The following is a 14,699-nucleotide window of genomic DNA, read 5'->3' as shown; positions in this document are numbered from 1 at the left end:
TGCTGAGGAGTGTGGAGGATTCCAGCTGAACCAGGGTCTACCTGTGTGCTCTGGACTTGGGTGCTCTCTCCTCCCAGGGGCACCTCCTGGCCATCTTCCCCCACCGCCCCACATGCAGCTCTGTCTCAGCCTGGCCTCGTTGTTCTGTGTCTCTTCCAAGATGACCTTTTGGAGTCATGTTCCTGGCGTGGGTTTGATTGTGGTTATCTCTGTTCTTTCCAGGCCTTTGTCTTTTCCCAAAGGCATGTTTTTATACCTGTTTGTATATAAAGCCATTTTGTGGCAATTGTTTAACCAGAGTTATTTTTTTATCTGGGGCTTTCTAGGAGCCGAACATTAATGCCAGATCAAGTTGGCCTAACAGTGAAAAGCATGTTGACCAGGAGGATGCCATTGAGGCCTATCACGGGGTCTGCCAGACAAACAGGTAAGGCCGCCGCGGTCAAATGTGCTGGACGAGGCCGCGGAGAAGGGCCCTGCCCAAACGAGTCTGTTTGGGGTTTTCCTCAGGTGATGACCATGTGCTCAGCATCAGAGAATTATTTATTAGAGGACACAGAAAGACTGACTCAGAACCCCTGCCCTACTGTTAGCTCAGCAAGGCTCGAGCAACACGCTCTCAGCATCTAGAGCCCAGGTCCCCTGAAAAGGATTAGGAAAAAGGAGCTTCCCTGGGAGGATGACAGGAGTGGAATAGGAAGGTCTGGCTGAGAACAGCTTTTCTTCTTGAGAGGATGCTGGCTGGGGAGGGGGGTGGGGGGTGGCTAACTGGCAGCAGAGGGCTGCTTAGCCATCTGCTGCAATGCCCTTCTCATGCATGCAGTGTGTGTCACACAGTGGGGGCCCACCCTCTGTCATTCAGAACAGATGGAACCCAAGCTGGGCACTTGGGGGTGGAATGGAAGCATTTCACCTCCACCGTCTTAGCCAAAATGAGATCTCCCTGGATGTGAGTTTAGCAACCACTGTCCCCTCGAAAATAAGCTGAGCCAGGGTTAAGGCAAGCAAGAGTGATTGTCTGAGGGCAGCAGCAGGGCCAAGCGTTGTCAGCAGACAGAACGCAGACCCCCAAGGCAGAGTGTCTGAGAAGGTGCACTGCAGAGTCCACTCCTCACGGTTTAGTAGCGGTCACATGACCGATAGGTGCCTCAGTTGCCTCATCTGTGAACTGGGGACAGCCATAGCGGCATCCTTCCTGTGGCTTTGGGAAGATGGGGTGAGCTCCTATCACCTGTGTAAGGGACTTAGGACAGTGCCTGCCTGTGGTGCGCACATGATGAGTGTTACTGCCGTGATACTGTTGTTATCATCTGCTTCCTCATGCCCCTGTGGGCACCTATAAAAACGGAGCTGTCTGGCCGAGCATAGTGGCTCACACCTGTAATCTAAGCACTTTGGGAGGCTGAGATGGGCAGATCACCTGAGGTCAGGAGTTTGAGACCAGCCTGGCCAATGTGGTGAAACCCTGTCTCTACTAAAAATACAAAAATTAGCCGGGCGTAGTGGCGGGTGCCTGTAATCCCAGCTACTCAGGAGGCTGAGGCAGGAGAATTGCTTGAACCCAGGAGGCGGAGGTTGCAATGAGCCGAGATCATGCCATTGCACTCCACCCTGGGCAATGAGAGCAAAACTGTGTCTCCAAAAAAAAAAAAAAAAAACATGGAGCTGGCCTCTTCCCTGGCTACCTTTCTCTCTTACCTCAACTAATAGAATGTTGATCAAGTATTTGTTCAAAATTGGTGAAAATAGCAAACATTTCCCAAAAATGTCATTAGGTGGCACTGTGAGTGCCACTTTAAGTTTTTTTGCAAGAATGTCACAGAGTCACTGAAGACTTCTGGTACTTTGATTCCCAGATCTTTTCATCCAGTCCCTCTTTCTGCAGAGAAGGAGACTGAGGCCCGGGGGGGTGGAACAGCTTAGGCCCACGGGTGGCCTGTGCCTGAGTCAAGGTAGAATCCGGAAGGCCTGACTCAGGCTGGGGCAGTTTCCAGCCACTGAGTAGGTAATCAGAAGTTGAAGGTGGTGTCACAGGCTCCAGGAGGAAATTAAATTTATTTCAAGAGAGGTATAATTCTTTTCCCTAAAGGAGGGAGAAAAGGAATGAAGGTGACTCTCTCAGTGCTAAAACTGGAGTCAAGATTTAGTCATTTTAAATTATCTTGGGTTGAAGATAAGAAATGAGATGAATAAGAAAAAGCCCAGGTGATACTAAAGTAGAAGGGAAGAAGCAGCTGTGTGCTTGGTCTGACAAGCGGTGTGCGTATCTCCCCGATCTTCAGAGCCGTCACCATTGGCAGCCTCTTTTATTCATGCAGCGGTTGTCAGGGATCCAGACCCCAGTTTAGGTTTTCCCAGGGGCTGCTTAATACCCTGGATTTGTCTTCCTTTACAGCAATAATAATGATGGTGATAAAATAAAAATAGCTTTTATTATATCTTAAAATAATTCTGTTCCCAGCAAGCCTGGTGTACAATAGGAAATTAATAGCCTGTGAAACTGAGTTAAGTACAGAAAAGGAGCTGGCTGCCCTGGGGAGTGGAGGCCTGAAGAGCCAGCTTCGCAGTGTGTGCTGCACCAGGTGCTGTGGAAGTGGCCATGGTGGGCCTGCCTCTCTCCCAGTCTGGCCTTTAGCTTTGGGAAGTGTTCATGATTGCTGCAAATCCCAGCATTGAGGGAGGAGAGGCAGGGAACAGGGACCCAACTGGGATTCTGTGGAGCCCATGACAAGGGGATTCCCATTACCATGAGGGCCACCCTGGCAACTGGGGTGCTTTGGAGATAGACAGCTGCTCTGCGTTTCCTACAGTTTTCCTGTAATGGAGAGTTCTACTGTTTAAATATAAATTATATCTACACATGTGTGATTTGTGAAAGACCATTTAGAATTTTGATGACATCTATCCTCTCCCTAGAGGAAGTTACACTCATATGCTGAATTTTGCTTAGATTTCTGGGGGCTTCCATCACATTCCCAGTCATAGCCTCTTTAAGCATTCATGATCCTCAAGTTCAGAACTTTTATCACTTGCTAACCTTCATAAGTTTGTAGAGTTTTGTTTTGGTCCCTATAACTGTGTCTTTTCCCTTGTTTTGAACTCTGGGGAGAGAAGCTATTATTGAGGAGCTGCTCTGAGAGGAGCTGCAGGAATGCGGGTGGCACTTCTGCTTCCACAAAGCTTTCTCCTTTTTTACCTCTGGGAACTAAGAGACACCAGCATCATTATCACCATTTTATATATAGGAAAATGAAGGGGGAAGAGGGCTGTGAACATGAGCTGGGTGCTGGGCAGTTTGTCTTCTTTTCAGGGCTGTATATGGGAGAAGGATGGGGAAGTGGTTTAGGAGGGCACAAGTTGCCACTGCCCTCAGCCCAACCTCACCTCGGGGTGAGCACTTAAAGTCAGAGTTAGGTAGGGGCAGGAGTGTGGCCAGGGCTCTGGTCTGGCTCTTTGACAGTGCTCCTTTGATTCCTGTCCACTTCTACCCAAGCCTTATCAAGAGTGTAAAACTCCAAAGTGAGACTGGTGCATTCCCGAGGTCCCAGAAAACCTCCTAGCAGCTCCTCTCCATCCAGCAGGTCCCCGGCAAGACAGGAGGCCTCCAGGCATTGGCACCTGGGCTTGGTCGGGCGCACCTGGGGTTATTATTCACACCCGCCGCCCCCCGCCAATACACACACCAGGGGCCTGTCCGGGACAGCGGAGACTGTGTTTGACAAGGAACTGTGTGCAGTCTCAAGATTTGCTCGGAGCTGTTGGCTCATTTGACCTTGAGCCTCGGCTGCTGTGGGCTGCCTTGCTCAGAATGGCAAAGAAGGCGGGAAGAGCTAGCTTCTGCCCAGCCCCTCCCCAGAGGGCCCAGCTTTAACCAGTCCTGACTAAGAGCTCTTGGCTTTTTTCAAGGAGGTGATCATTTCCTTATGTTCCCCAAAGTTCTGCTGGTCCTGAGTTGGCAGCACAGTTTGGGTCTGCTGTAATTTCATGGCTAGGTCATATTAATCCACAAACTGTTCACCCTCATATGGCCAGGCCTAGGGCCTCAGATGTTTCTCTGTTGTTCCTGGTGTTTGGAGTGTGCCTTCCATTTCCCAGAGGTCCCAGGGAATATGCTAGGAGGTTGAATAGAAAGCTTGGGTATGAACTAAAGAAGTTAGGCTGTCTGTGGAGCACACAGTGGGCTTTTTAGAACCGGGAAACTGACCATCTCTGAGCTGGCAGGAATCTTGTCTGTTTCCCCAGGAAGGCAGGTTCTTAACTGTGGCGGGGCCATGGTTGATAGATCCTGTTTTTCCAATATCTTCACAGAGGCCAAGTAAATATTATCCTAGGCCTTGTCTGGCTTTTTATAAGATCTGGAAGAAACCTTTGCAATAAGGTTAGTAATTAAAGATCTGGAAGAAACCTTTGCGATAATTCAGTAGGCTACTTTCACTTTACCCGTAAAGAAAGAGAGGCCCAGGGCGTGGAGGTGATTAGCCCGGGCCACGGGCTCATTACAGGTGGGGCTGGGAGTTGCCCCAATGCTAGGTTCTCCAGCCAGTTTCCTGGATGCCGAGCCTCACTGCCCCCTGTGGCTGGAGACTGACTGCAGTGAGTTAACTTATCTCTGTGTGTCACAGTGGTCTCTCTGGAAATATTTGTAGATTTATTAATTGATATCAAGCACTTACATTTTCAACAAAAAATCCTGAGCCAAGTAGTTTGGGCTTTTTCTTTTCCCACCAGGAGGTGGCGCTCCCTCCCTGGCCTTGGCCCATAATGGCCTAAGTGGAGCTGGAGGAGCTCCTCCAGGGGTTCTTTCCTCTGGGAACCAACGGCTGAAGCAAGTTGGTTGACTGGTTTTTAGTTTACTCGTGTGTCTGATTTCCTGAGCACTGTGGGCTGCCTGGGCTGCACAGTTCTCTACTTTTATCTTTGTCAATAGTGCCTGGCTTGTTACAGAATTAAGAATTCTGGGAGTATGGCCCTGTGAGGCTGGTGGCCTGGGCATTCATTAATCCTAACTTCCTTGTGTGAGTCAGCTTCGCGTGCCCCACCCTAGAGAGCTCTGCAGTCTGTAGGTTTACGGGGACGACAGAGGTGAGGTGAACCTCTGAGACAGAGCCCCAGCAGCCCCTCCCTGGGGGGTGGGGGGCTGGAGGCTGGAAAGGAGCTTTAGTTCAAGGTCTGGAGACCCTGGGTCCTGGCGCAGGAGTCAGTGTCTCTCTGGTGTGGGAAAGGAGGTGGGTGGAGCCCAGGATCCCTGCACTTGTTCCCTTTCAGCGCTGATGCGCTCTACTTCCGGCCCTCCCCAAGAATCACTGCAGTGGTGCCTACAGTCCTCCAGTGAGCTGTGCCTTTGGGTTAAAGCACCAGCCATGAAAGGCCGTAGTAAAATGCAGGCACTAACATCTGAGACGGGATGATGCTGAGTTATGAGTTTGGGATTTGTTAAAGTCTATGTTGATGTTAATGATGGAGAGGTATAATGAGGCACATCGGACCCCCACTTCCTATCGTGGCCTGAAACAGTCTCTCAGGTTAAACATTAAAAGAGCCCTGGCTGAGGAGGAAGTCCCTTCAGATGGTGGGGGGCCTTAGGATTTTATTTTTGGTTTACAGATGGTTTGCACCCTGGGAATGAGGACGAGGGCATTACAGGTCCTCATTTAGGGCTGTTTGGATGCAGTTCTTGCTCCATTATTCCTGCCTGGAAAGCTGGAATCTGGCCTGCAGGAGGAGTACTCCAGGAACAGAGGCTGTTAGGAGCAGGGAGGTGCGGCAGAGTCCTGCTGGGGGCAGCAGGCCCCTACCTGCCCTCCTCCACCCAACTCTGCTGGCCCTTGAGTATCTCTGTGTGCCCAGGGCTGCGCAGGTTGAGGACCTAGGTGGAGGTGGAACATTGGACACACCTGACCTCCAGGAGCTGCCCTTGCTGGCATGGGGCAGACACTGGGTGACTTGGACACAGCAAAAGAGTTTGCATGTAGAGGGGTAAAGAGTTCTGCTTTCCCAAATTGAGTAAAAAGTGGTAACGCACCCCAGTCCCAAGGTCAAGGGGAGACATCATTCAGTTCTCATCTAGGGCATCACAAAACTTGTTTTAGCTATTGGAGAAAGACCCTGCAAGGAGAGCTGAAGTTAAGATTAGTTAATATTTTTGTGCCTTTAAGGAGTCCCAGAAAGATCTGCATTGAAAAGCAGGTAGTGTCTGCAGTCTCCTTCCTTACCCTGGGTGGGCCTGACGTCCCCCAGGGGCTTCCCATGCTGCTCTGCAGATGCAATGTGTTCCCCACCATGAGCCTGCTCACTGCCTCCCGCTTCCTCCATGCACACTTAGGGTTCTCTCCTCCCAGCCCCTTTTGCATCTCTCCCTGTGCTTGTCTGAATCAATCTGATTGAGGGAAGCACCATGTGTGAGGCTATGTGAATGCTTCCACACTACCCACACTGCTGCCTTGCTGCCATTTACAGAGTTACCAGAACAAGCTGGCCCTCTGCTGTCTCTGGGGCAGCATGCTTTCCCACCTGGGGTTATTAGCAGGCCCCACATGAGACCACATGAACCCACTTCCAGGACAGTACCTGAAACTGGAGGACTTATGGGAGAGATGCTGTTTGCAGGTGACAGGAGAGGAGGAAGGGAAAATGGGAGTTCTTGAGCCTTGCCTTTTTTTCGTTTCCAAACCTTGGCTAGAATCTCCTCACTTTCCAGGACTCCCTGCCTGCCTGTCTCTTCCGTCTACACTGGACACCCTGTTTTTCTGTCCTTTGTTTCTAGCAAGACTGAGGATTGGGGATATTTAAATGAAGATGGAGAACTCGGCTTGGCCTACCAAGGCCTAAAGCAAGTTGCCAGGTGGAACATATTCCTTTCTTCCTGTGTCTGCTTTGTCCGTTGGGCCTGCTCATGTCTATGCTTAACCGTTTTTCAGCTACAGTGGGTGCGAGAGCACGGGGAACAGTTGGCATGCAGTCTGGCTGGTAGCCCCTGTGGTTGACCATCTGTCACTGTGCCCAGGCTGTACAGATATGGCTGAGGGTGGCTGGTTGTTTGGGTCAAGGTGATAGCATTTAGTGGACCTCCTGAGGTCCAGCCTACTTGTTCTATAGGTGAAGAAAGAGACAAGAGCAGGAGGTCACATAGCGGCAGGCACACAGCTCTTTAGAACAAGGCTGAGAAGGAAACATACCTCTGGGGAATCCTGGGCCTGTGCTGCTTTCACACTACATATTGGCCCTCCTAACTGCAGGATCAGCCAAAAATGTCTGCCTGATCTGTGCTGCTGGCTGTGCTCCAAATGTAACCTGTGCCCCCAGAGCCTGCCATCAGTATGTGTGCTGGTCCTGATCTCCGGGACTCCCTGGAGCTGATGGCAGCCAAGTGCAGTGCATGCGCCTTGACATCTGGCCTCACAGCACCTTCATGGGGTGGGGACACTGAAGCCCGGAGGGTTTAAGGAAATTGCTGGTGAAACAGAAGATCCAGAATTTGAACCTGGTTCCAGCTGATACCAGAGTCTGTGCCTGAAACCCACTGGCCCTCAGCAGTGGGTGAGCAGCTTAGCCAGACAGGGTAGGCATGCAGCAAAAGGACACCATGTGATGGTCACACCATAGGCCAGTTGACTGCAGGTGGCTTTTAAGAGCTGTGGCATAGCTTTGCCTATTGGAGCCTGACTCAACAAGAGATGGACTGGTAGTCATCGAGCTTGCTTTCCAGAGAGGAAACCGGGACTCAACAAGGTGGCATGAGTGCTGGACCCAGCTCCCTCAGCCAGGTGGTGGCGGAGCAGGAGCCAGAAGCCCTCATGCTGCTTCTCCTTGCCGCCTGCTGAGGATGTAGTAGAGGTACTGTTGCACCAAGAGCATCTCTTCTTGGAAAAAGAAAGTTTACTCAGCTGATTGACAGGGTAGTGTTTCTCTGGGTTCAGATGTGGCCCCACAATCTGTGAGCAAGGTGACATGGTGGGTCTGTTTCCTTGTGAATGGAATAGGACCTTCCTCACGGGGCATTATAAGGAATAAGGTTAATACAGGTGAAGTACTTTGCACATGCCTGATACGTAACCATGGAATAATAAATATTAGCTGCTACTTCTATTACTATCATGGTTATTATTCAATAAGATCAGATTTCTGTCCCACCAAGTAGTTTGTTTTATTGGAGGAAGGATCCTTGTGTGAAGCCAGGTGATTCCTCGTGCCTCTCCATCAGCAGATCAGACATGGTTTCATGAATCGGCAACTGAATGCATTAATAAAGCACAGACCTATGAATCAAGAGTCCTGGTTTCTAGAATCAGCCCTGCCACTGGTCGTGGCCTCAAAGCTCTTTTGGCCTTAGTTTTCTCACCTGCACGATGAGGTGGCTAGCCTAATGTTTAAGTAGGAACAGACCCTGGCTGAGTCAGCTACAGTCCACCTGGAGAATAAGACATGAACAGTGAACGTGCTGCACAAGGCAGGAGAGAAATCCTCAGGGCAGCTCGCCTAGAACCCAAGAGTGTCTGTTCTCTCTCATTAAATGTATAACTTATTGGTGACTACTTTTAATGTGCTTACTGTAGCCAATATTGGATATTATCTAAATGCTGTATTTCATTTAAAATCCTGATTTAATTACCCAATTATCCTCCACAAATCTCATGTTATTTTTCTTTAGTAATAGGTAATATCGCCTGTAGTGAATGAGTGATTTTCTCAATCACTTCTTCATTCATGTAACTTTGTTGAGGAGCCACTGGGAGTCAGGTGTTACACCCAGTGCTGCTATGGAGCTGACTCAGCTACATAAAATGTGGTTGCTTATATCAACAGTGTAGACTTTCCCTCTCTCTCTTGCTCCCTTGTAGACATGGTCCCACCTGTCTTATGATAATTCTCACCTCCCAAACCATCAGAACTGTAAAAAACATGGCGCCTTCCTCCAGGGCAGCCACGGCCTCCAACAGCTGTGTTAGAGGCACAACCAGTTCCTACCTGTGTGCCTACCTTGGTCATAATTGTTATGTGCATTCCTGGAAGACACTGGGGTGGATTTTTTCCATGTAACCATGTCTGGAAGCTCTTTACAGTACAGTACCTCTCCCCCAGCACCCTAGCTTTCTTCCATATGAAGCCTGCTGCACTGAATCGGAAAGCTGGTTTAAGTAACTAAGTCCAAGAAGGACAACATCATGGTCATATTAGCATCTAACTTCCTGAAGATGCGGCTGCCTGTGAGCCTTCATTAATCTCTTGCCTTCTATTATGATGGGAGCATTGCCCAGGTAACTGGCACCTCTTGGTCTTGGGCCTTTTGACTCAGAATGTTATAAGACTTCTCCTCAATCTTTGCAAGATCTCTAGGTCTCTCTGCTTCTTGTCATGACACCAGCTGATCTTACACCTTCCCCAAGATCATTTGCAAATAGTCTTAGTTTTCATTTTTGGCTGGAGGAAACTTGTATGTAAAAATTGTATATGCAATAATTGTATGTATAAAATAAAATGGGGCTAGTAATAATGGTAAAGATAAAAAAGGGGCTAATATTTTGCCTTTCTAAAACTTGTGGAGAATCTGCCACAGGGAAAATATGTGAATAATATAATTAGCTCAGTTTTGCCAGAGTTTTATCTTAAGAAGGAGGTTCTTGTGAACTTTGGGGCAGATGTAGATGTTTTTATTTAAAAGATGCTTTAAGAGATGTATTTCTGTTGATGGACATTTTGACAGGGAGACAGTCTTTCAATCCCAAACCATTAAACTATGCTCACTGAATGAGGAACAAGGGTCGAGAGAAAGGCTTAGGACCAGAAGTGCCTTTGGCCTTGGTTTCCCATCATCTGAGAGGAGGACACTTTGGCCTGCTTGCCTTGTGGTCCCCATGGCATCTGTCTCCTGCTGCATTCATCCCTCTGGGGGATGTGCAACCGCTGCTGCTGTGTGCTTGGCTGCTCCCCTGTTATGTTTCTGCCTGTGTCCCCTCAGATGGGGGCCCTGGCCTGGGCCACGTGCTCACCTGTCCTCTCCCTGGCACAGGCTGCTGGAGGCTCAGCTGCAGGCCCAGAGCCTGGAGCATGAGGAGGAGGTGGAGCATCTCAAGGCTCAGCTCGAGGCCCTGAAGGAGGAGATGGACAAACAGCAGCAGACCTTCTGCCAGACGCTACTGCTCTCCCCAGAGGCCCAGGTGGAATTCGGCGTTCAGCAGGAAATATCCCGGCTGACCAACGAGAATCTGGTGGGTAGCCATGTCTAGTGGACCCCAGCTTTGGGAAGTCACGTTCTAGAAGCAAATGGGATCGGGGTTGCCTTTGGCAAAACTGACAAGGTTCATGACCCTTGGCCCTATAGTAGGAACAGAGATTCTAGAAGTCTCCGGTCAAGACCCCTTCACTGGAGCTGAAAGATCTCAGACAGCCCCACTCCTGTGTCTGGGGCCTTGTCGTTGGCTGGGGGGCGTCACCTGCCTTCTTGCTGAATTTCACTGGTCTGAGCTGCTTTACCTGGCTGCTGGCTTCCAAGAGGATGAAAGCAGGAACAGCGAGACTCCTCAAGACTCAGTCCCTGAACTAACTGTTGCTTCTGCCCATTGATCAAAACCAGTCTCATGGCTAGGCCAGATATGGCGAGAGAGAGATTCTACCTCTTGAGGGGAGGAGTAGTGGAAGAAGTTGTTGGGGCCTCTTTGCAGACAGTCACCAAAGGAGCCCCAGCAGGTGCCAGAGAAATGGAAGAGGGCCCCTGTCTTATGAGAGCTTGCAGATTGGTCAGTAGGGGAAGCAAGGTATGTAATAAAGAAGAGAAAGTAGATAGTGTTTTTAAAAGCATGATTCTGCATTGAGTTAACAATGAGTATTACAGGAAGAGAATAAATGGTGGGGCGAGCTTTTGGGAGGACATGAGGCTTGAGCTGAGACAGGAGGTATGAAGGGGATGTAAATCATGGAGACTGGCAGAGGGGGAGGGAGAAGAAAAGCATGGACCAAGGCACCCAGACAGGAGTGAAGGCAGTCGGAGGGCGGGGCTCAGCAGTGCCGATCACCTTCTGGAGCTGAACGTGCCTGTAGAGTGCAGCACGTTCATGTGCCCGTAGTGCATCCAGTCCAGGAGTCCGGCCATGGCTGTCATTTCACTTTATAACCAGATCATCTGTGGTTGGGTGGCCAGTTCACTTGATCCCAAGAGGAAAAGTGGGGTCCCAGACTCACAGCTGAATAGCACTTACATACACATGATCTTCCCTCCCTCCCTCTCTCTCCCTCTCTTTGTCTGCAAGTCACTTTCTGTTGCATATACGTGTGTTACCTGGTGGCTTTATGAAAAGAAATGCACCATGTTAAAGAAACCTACCTGGCCAGCTTCTGCCAGGTAGAGGAGGCAGCCTAGGAAATGCATTTGGTGGCCTATGTTCCCTGGAGGGCCATTGACCAAGTAGTGCAGTGAACAATCACCCTATAAAGAGGGCTGTGCACCATGCAGGTACTGCGTTAGCTCACGGCACACCAACACAAGGTTGCCAAGGCCACACTTAGGAGAGTTAGTGACTGGAAAGAGGTGGGTAGTCAGTCCTACCTTAGGAGTCCTACCTTAAGAGAGCAAAAGAAAACAGTGCAGTGGGCCCCTCTGCTGGGGTGGTGACACTGGGTCATGAGTAGGGGCCTGTGCTGCTGGCCGGGCAAGGAGGAGGAGGAGGAGGAGGGCTCCAGTTTGCAGCCTGCTGAGAGACTCCTTCCAGAACGTGGTCCTCCTCATTTGCCCAGACAGAGGCTAGGACCCCTAAGGAGAGCCAGCTGCAGCAGGTTCCAGGGGCTGTTGGTGATGTATATTCACCTACTTAGCAAGCATTCCTGCCTACCGTGTGCCAGCTGGTGAAGCACTGACCTCAGGCAGAGAGGAGACAGTGTATACACAAGTAACCACAGCACAAGGTGCTTGGCAGTCTCACAGGGAGTGTAAGGGAAGTCAGGGGAAATGGCTTGAGGCTGGAGTGGTGGGGAAAGGGGTCTGTGTAGAGGGGAGGATGTGATTGTCCCTCCTGGTAGCAACTTGAAAAGTTTAGCGCCATCTTCAGATGTGCTCATTTTTCATTTCCAAGATTCCTTATGAATTGAATTCATTATTCTGTAAGCTTTTGTAATTTTAGGCTTTAGGACTTTGGGCCTTCGTGTCTCCACAAGTTTACAACCACTGTGGCCAGCACTATGTTCCCTTTATTTGTTCTAAATTTGTTGATTTCAAGCTTTAAAGATTCCCAGGTGGTTCCAATACCCCTACAAAGTTTGGGAAGCATAGCTCTATATAATTCCCCTTAGCACATTAAGAATTCAGCCTTCTGGGATTTGTAGGGGGTTGGGGGTTAGACACCCAGGCATGTCTTAGCACAAAGCCACCGTTAGTGACATGGATCTTACAATCACCTCTGCTTGAGCATTTCGGGAGGGGTATTGGATTTTCTGGGCTTTCCTGAGAAGATGACTGAGATGTCAGAGCTCTCAAAGACAGGCGTCAAAGCCTGGCCTGGATTAATCTTTCCTTCTTGAAGCATCTGGTGTATAAGATGCTGCAAATAGGCATTAGAGCATTTATTGCCTGTCCTCCCAGGGTGTAGTGAAGGTTTTCAAAGTAATGGTGGAAAAGACATAAGAAATGCTTTATCTTGTGGATTTGATAATATTGTACAGAGGAGCTTCGGACTGATGGTGGTCATAGTACCAGCGTCCTGGTCCCGATCCAGTCTGGAGCAGCCCTGGGCTCCCCATTCACTGGGCTGGCCAAGTCTTGTGGCCCCAAGAGTTGGTTAATCCTTTGCAAGAGTCAGAGTTGTAGCCGAGGATTCAGTGGGGTTGGATCTGGACAGGGTTATATGAACACGAGGCAGGGGTGGCAGTGCAGCGGAGCTGGGGAGCCAGGGAATCACATGCTTTGGTGCTGCTTGGCAAGGCACCTAACAGGGGAGACGGAGTCTGAGTAGAACTCAGGGTTCACAGGAGACCTTCGGTAGCCACAGAGATTCCTGGCTCAATTTTCTCTAGACACCTGGGTCCTTTCTACCAACTGGCCTCTCACGCAGAGGCCACTCTTAGGTCACTGAATAAGGTTTTACGGTCTGCCGCCTCTCCTGTCATTTAAGCTGGGTTTTTAGATGCCTCTCAATTTAAGAAGTATTTTTAAAGATTTGCTTCTTTATCAAGATGAATAAAGTTCCTAACAACATCTATAACTAGGTGTGTAGCTTGGGATGGCCACATCCCTGGGACTGGGCCAACTCCTGTCAACAGGCTGATCTTAAAAAGTTGTCACCCAATGTGTTTGTAGAGGCTCCACCATGGAATACTCGCTTCTGTCTTCCTGTCACTCTCTAGTCACCGAAGCCGGCTCTAGTGGTGGATGGAGCAGGGCTCCTCTTCTCCTCTTTGTGTCCCTGGCCACAGAGGACCACTGCTCAGCTGGGATGGAGGTGACATTAATGACAGCAAACTCCTCCCTCAGCGGCTTGCTGTTCTAGGTCTCAGTGGGCTGATGGGCTTCCAGTGGCAACAGCTGCTAGGGTCTGGGGCCACACCAGTGTCCTGTTTTGCCGCTGGGCCCTGGATAATCTCACTTGCCCACTTGCTCTTCCAACCTCCCTGCCCCCTGCATTCTCACACCTGTCCGTTCCTTCCCAGGGCGCTGCCCGCCCCACCCTGGGACTCCTAGGCTGAGTGTGTCTCCTGGGGGGTTGGCATGGCAACCGGAGGAGGCTTGGCTTGGGGAGGCTTGGGATTCAGCAAGGCGCCAGAGAGCCTGACCTGGGAGGAGTCTTGCCTTGAGAGAATGGACTCTGACTCATCATCTCCCACTTCCTGAGTTCCAGAGCAGGTGGCAACAGCCTGTGAAGAGCAGCTCTCCTGGCAGCGTCCCTGACTGGCGCATTTCTGACGGCTGCCCATGGGCCGCACTGGTCACCTCCAACTGCAAGCAGGATTTTACCCCCACCATCCCAGGCCGGGCTGATGTCTGTTCTCACACTGCTTCCTCTGCTTCCAGGACCTTAAAGAACTGGTAGAAAAGCTGGAAAAGAATGAGAGGAAGCTCAAAAAGCAACTGAAGATTTACATGAAGAAAGCCCAGGACCTAGAAGGTAGGGGGGTGTGAGTGAGTGTGTTTTGTGAATCACAGGTATACTTGGCCACGCCTGTGGGTGTGAGCTGTCTGCCTGCCCTCTGCACATTCTTCCTACATCACTGATTTCTTGGTGGCTCTGCCCAGTCCAGCCAGGCGATAGAAGTTGGATCCCATGAGCTTACCCATCTGCAGTTGCCAGAATATGGACAAAAGACACTTGAATTCAGCCAGTTTGGGTGCTTACTCTGAGCAAGGCTCTGCAGGGCTAGAGGAATGGGGAACCCAGAGGTGACCTGGTGGTCCCTGCCCTCAAACGGCTTGAAGTTGGGAGGCAAGATTGATGTGAAAGAATGCTGTGTAACACAAAGACCTAAACCCCAAGGTCCTCACTCCATGCTATTGAGTGTCAGGATTAAACTTCCAATCTGGGATCTTCAGGTAGAGATTTAAATCACTCTTCCAGAAAGACCTAGAATGTTCTCTCCCTCTGACTCCCTGCTGCAAATCTCACTGTGTCACTCTTTACATATGTCACCCTGCTTGGAACCCTCTTTCAGCCCCTCACTGCTTGGATACCCCTCCACATCCTTCCACCCTCAGCTCAGGAGCCACATGCTCAGGGCTTGAG

At 50.1% G+C, this 14,699-nt stretch overlaps 1 protein-coding gene and 1 long non-coding RNA gene across 2 annotated transcripts in view, besides 4 other annotated features; one reads left to right on the top strand and one right to left on the bottom strand.

Moving 5' to 3' along the window:
* Positions 1 to 14,699, top strand: part of MYO5B (myosin VB) — a 372,359-nt gene that overhangs the window by 331,494 nt on the left and 26,166 nt on the right. The window contains exons 29-32 of the mRNA NM_001080467.3: positions 327 to 427; positions 6,764 to 6,841; positions 10,007 to 10,205; positions 13,994 to 14,087. Coding sequence (NP_001073936.1) covers positions 327 to 427; positions 6,764 to 6,841; positions 10,007 to 10,205; positions 13,994 to 14,087 — 472 coding nt within the window. The remainder of the gene's footprint in view (positions 1 to 326; positions 428 to 6,763; positions 6,842 to 10,006; positions 10,206 to 13,993; positions 14,088 to 14,699) is intronic.
* Positions 6,555 to 7,055: an enhancer, noted in NCBI's record as "H3K27ac hESC enhancer chr18:47382969-47383469 (GRCh37/hg19 assembly coordinates)". NCBI's record gives its function as "activates a minimal SCP1, AML or CMV promoter by ChIP-STARR-seq in primed H9 embryonic stem cells {active_cell/tissue: H9 hESC(primed)}" and the evidence as "EXISTENCE:reporter gene assay evidence [ECO:0000049][PMID:30033119]".
* Positions 7,056 to 7,556: an enhancer, noted in NCBI's record as "H3K27ac hESC enhancer chr18:47382468-47382968 (GRCh37/hg19 assembly coordinates)". NCBI's record gives its function as "activates a minimal SCP1, AML or CMV promoter by ChIP-STARR-seq in naive and primed H9 embryonic stem cells {active_cell/tissue: H9 hESC(naive and primed)}" and the evidence as "EXISTENCE:reporter gene assay evidence [ECO:0000049][PMID:30033119]".
* SNHG22 (small nucleolar RNA host gene 22) overlaps positions 12,595 to 14,699 on the bottom strand; it is a 37,037-nt gene continuing 34,932 nt past the window's right edge. Inside the window, exon 4 of the long non-coding RNA NR_117096.1 lies at positions 12,595 to 14,017. This is a non-coding gene — a long non-coding RNA (small nucleolar RNA host gene 22). The remainder of the gene's footprint in view (positions 14,018 to 14,699) is intronic.
* Positions 13,334 to 14,533: an enhancer, noted in NCBI's record as "MED14-independent group 3 enhancer chr18:47375491-47376690 (GRCh37/hg19 assembly coordinates)". NCBI's record gives its function as "activates an origin of replication core promoter dependent on BRD2, BRD4, P300/CBP and CDK7 cofactors, and independent of MED14, by STARR-seq in HCT116 cells {active_cell/tissue: HCT116}" and the evidence as "EXISTENCE:reporter gene assay evidence [ECO:0000049][PMID:35650434]".
* Positions 13,730 to 14,241: an enhancer, noted in NCBI's record as "H3K4me1 hESC enhancer chr18:47375783-47376294 (GRCh37/hg19 assembly coordinates)". NCBI's record gives its function as "activates a minimal SCP1, AML or CMV promoter by ChIP-STARR-seq in naive H9 embryonic stem cells {active_cell/tissue: H9 hESC(naive)}" and the evidence as "EXISTENCE:reporter gene assay evidence [ECO:0000049][PMID:30033119]".

Source organism: Homo sapiens, chromosome 18 (assembly GCF_000001405.40).
Source record: "Homo sapiens chromosome 18, GRCh38.p14 Primary Assembly".
NCBI lineage: Eukaryota > Metazoa > Chordata > Mammalia > Primates > Hominidae > Homo > Homo sapiens.
Note: the sequence above shows the minus strand (reverse complement) of the source record. Positions and strands in the feature narration are given on the sequence as shown.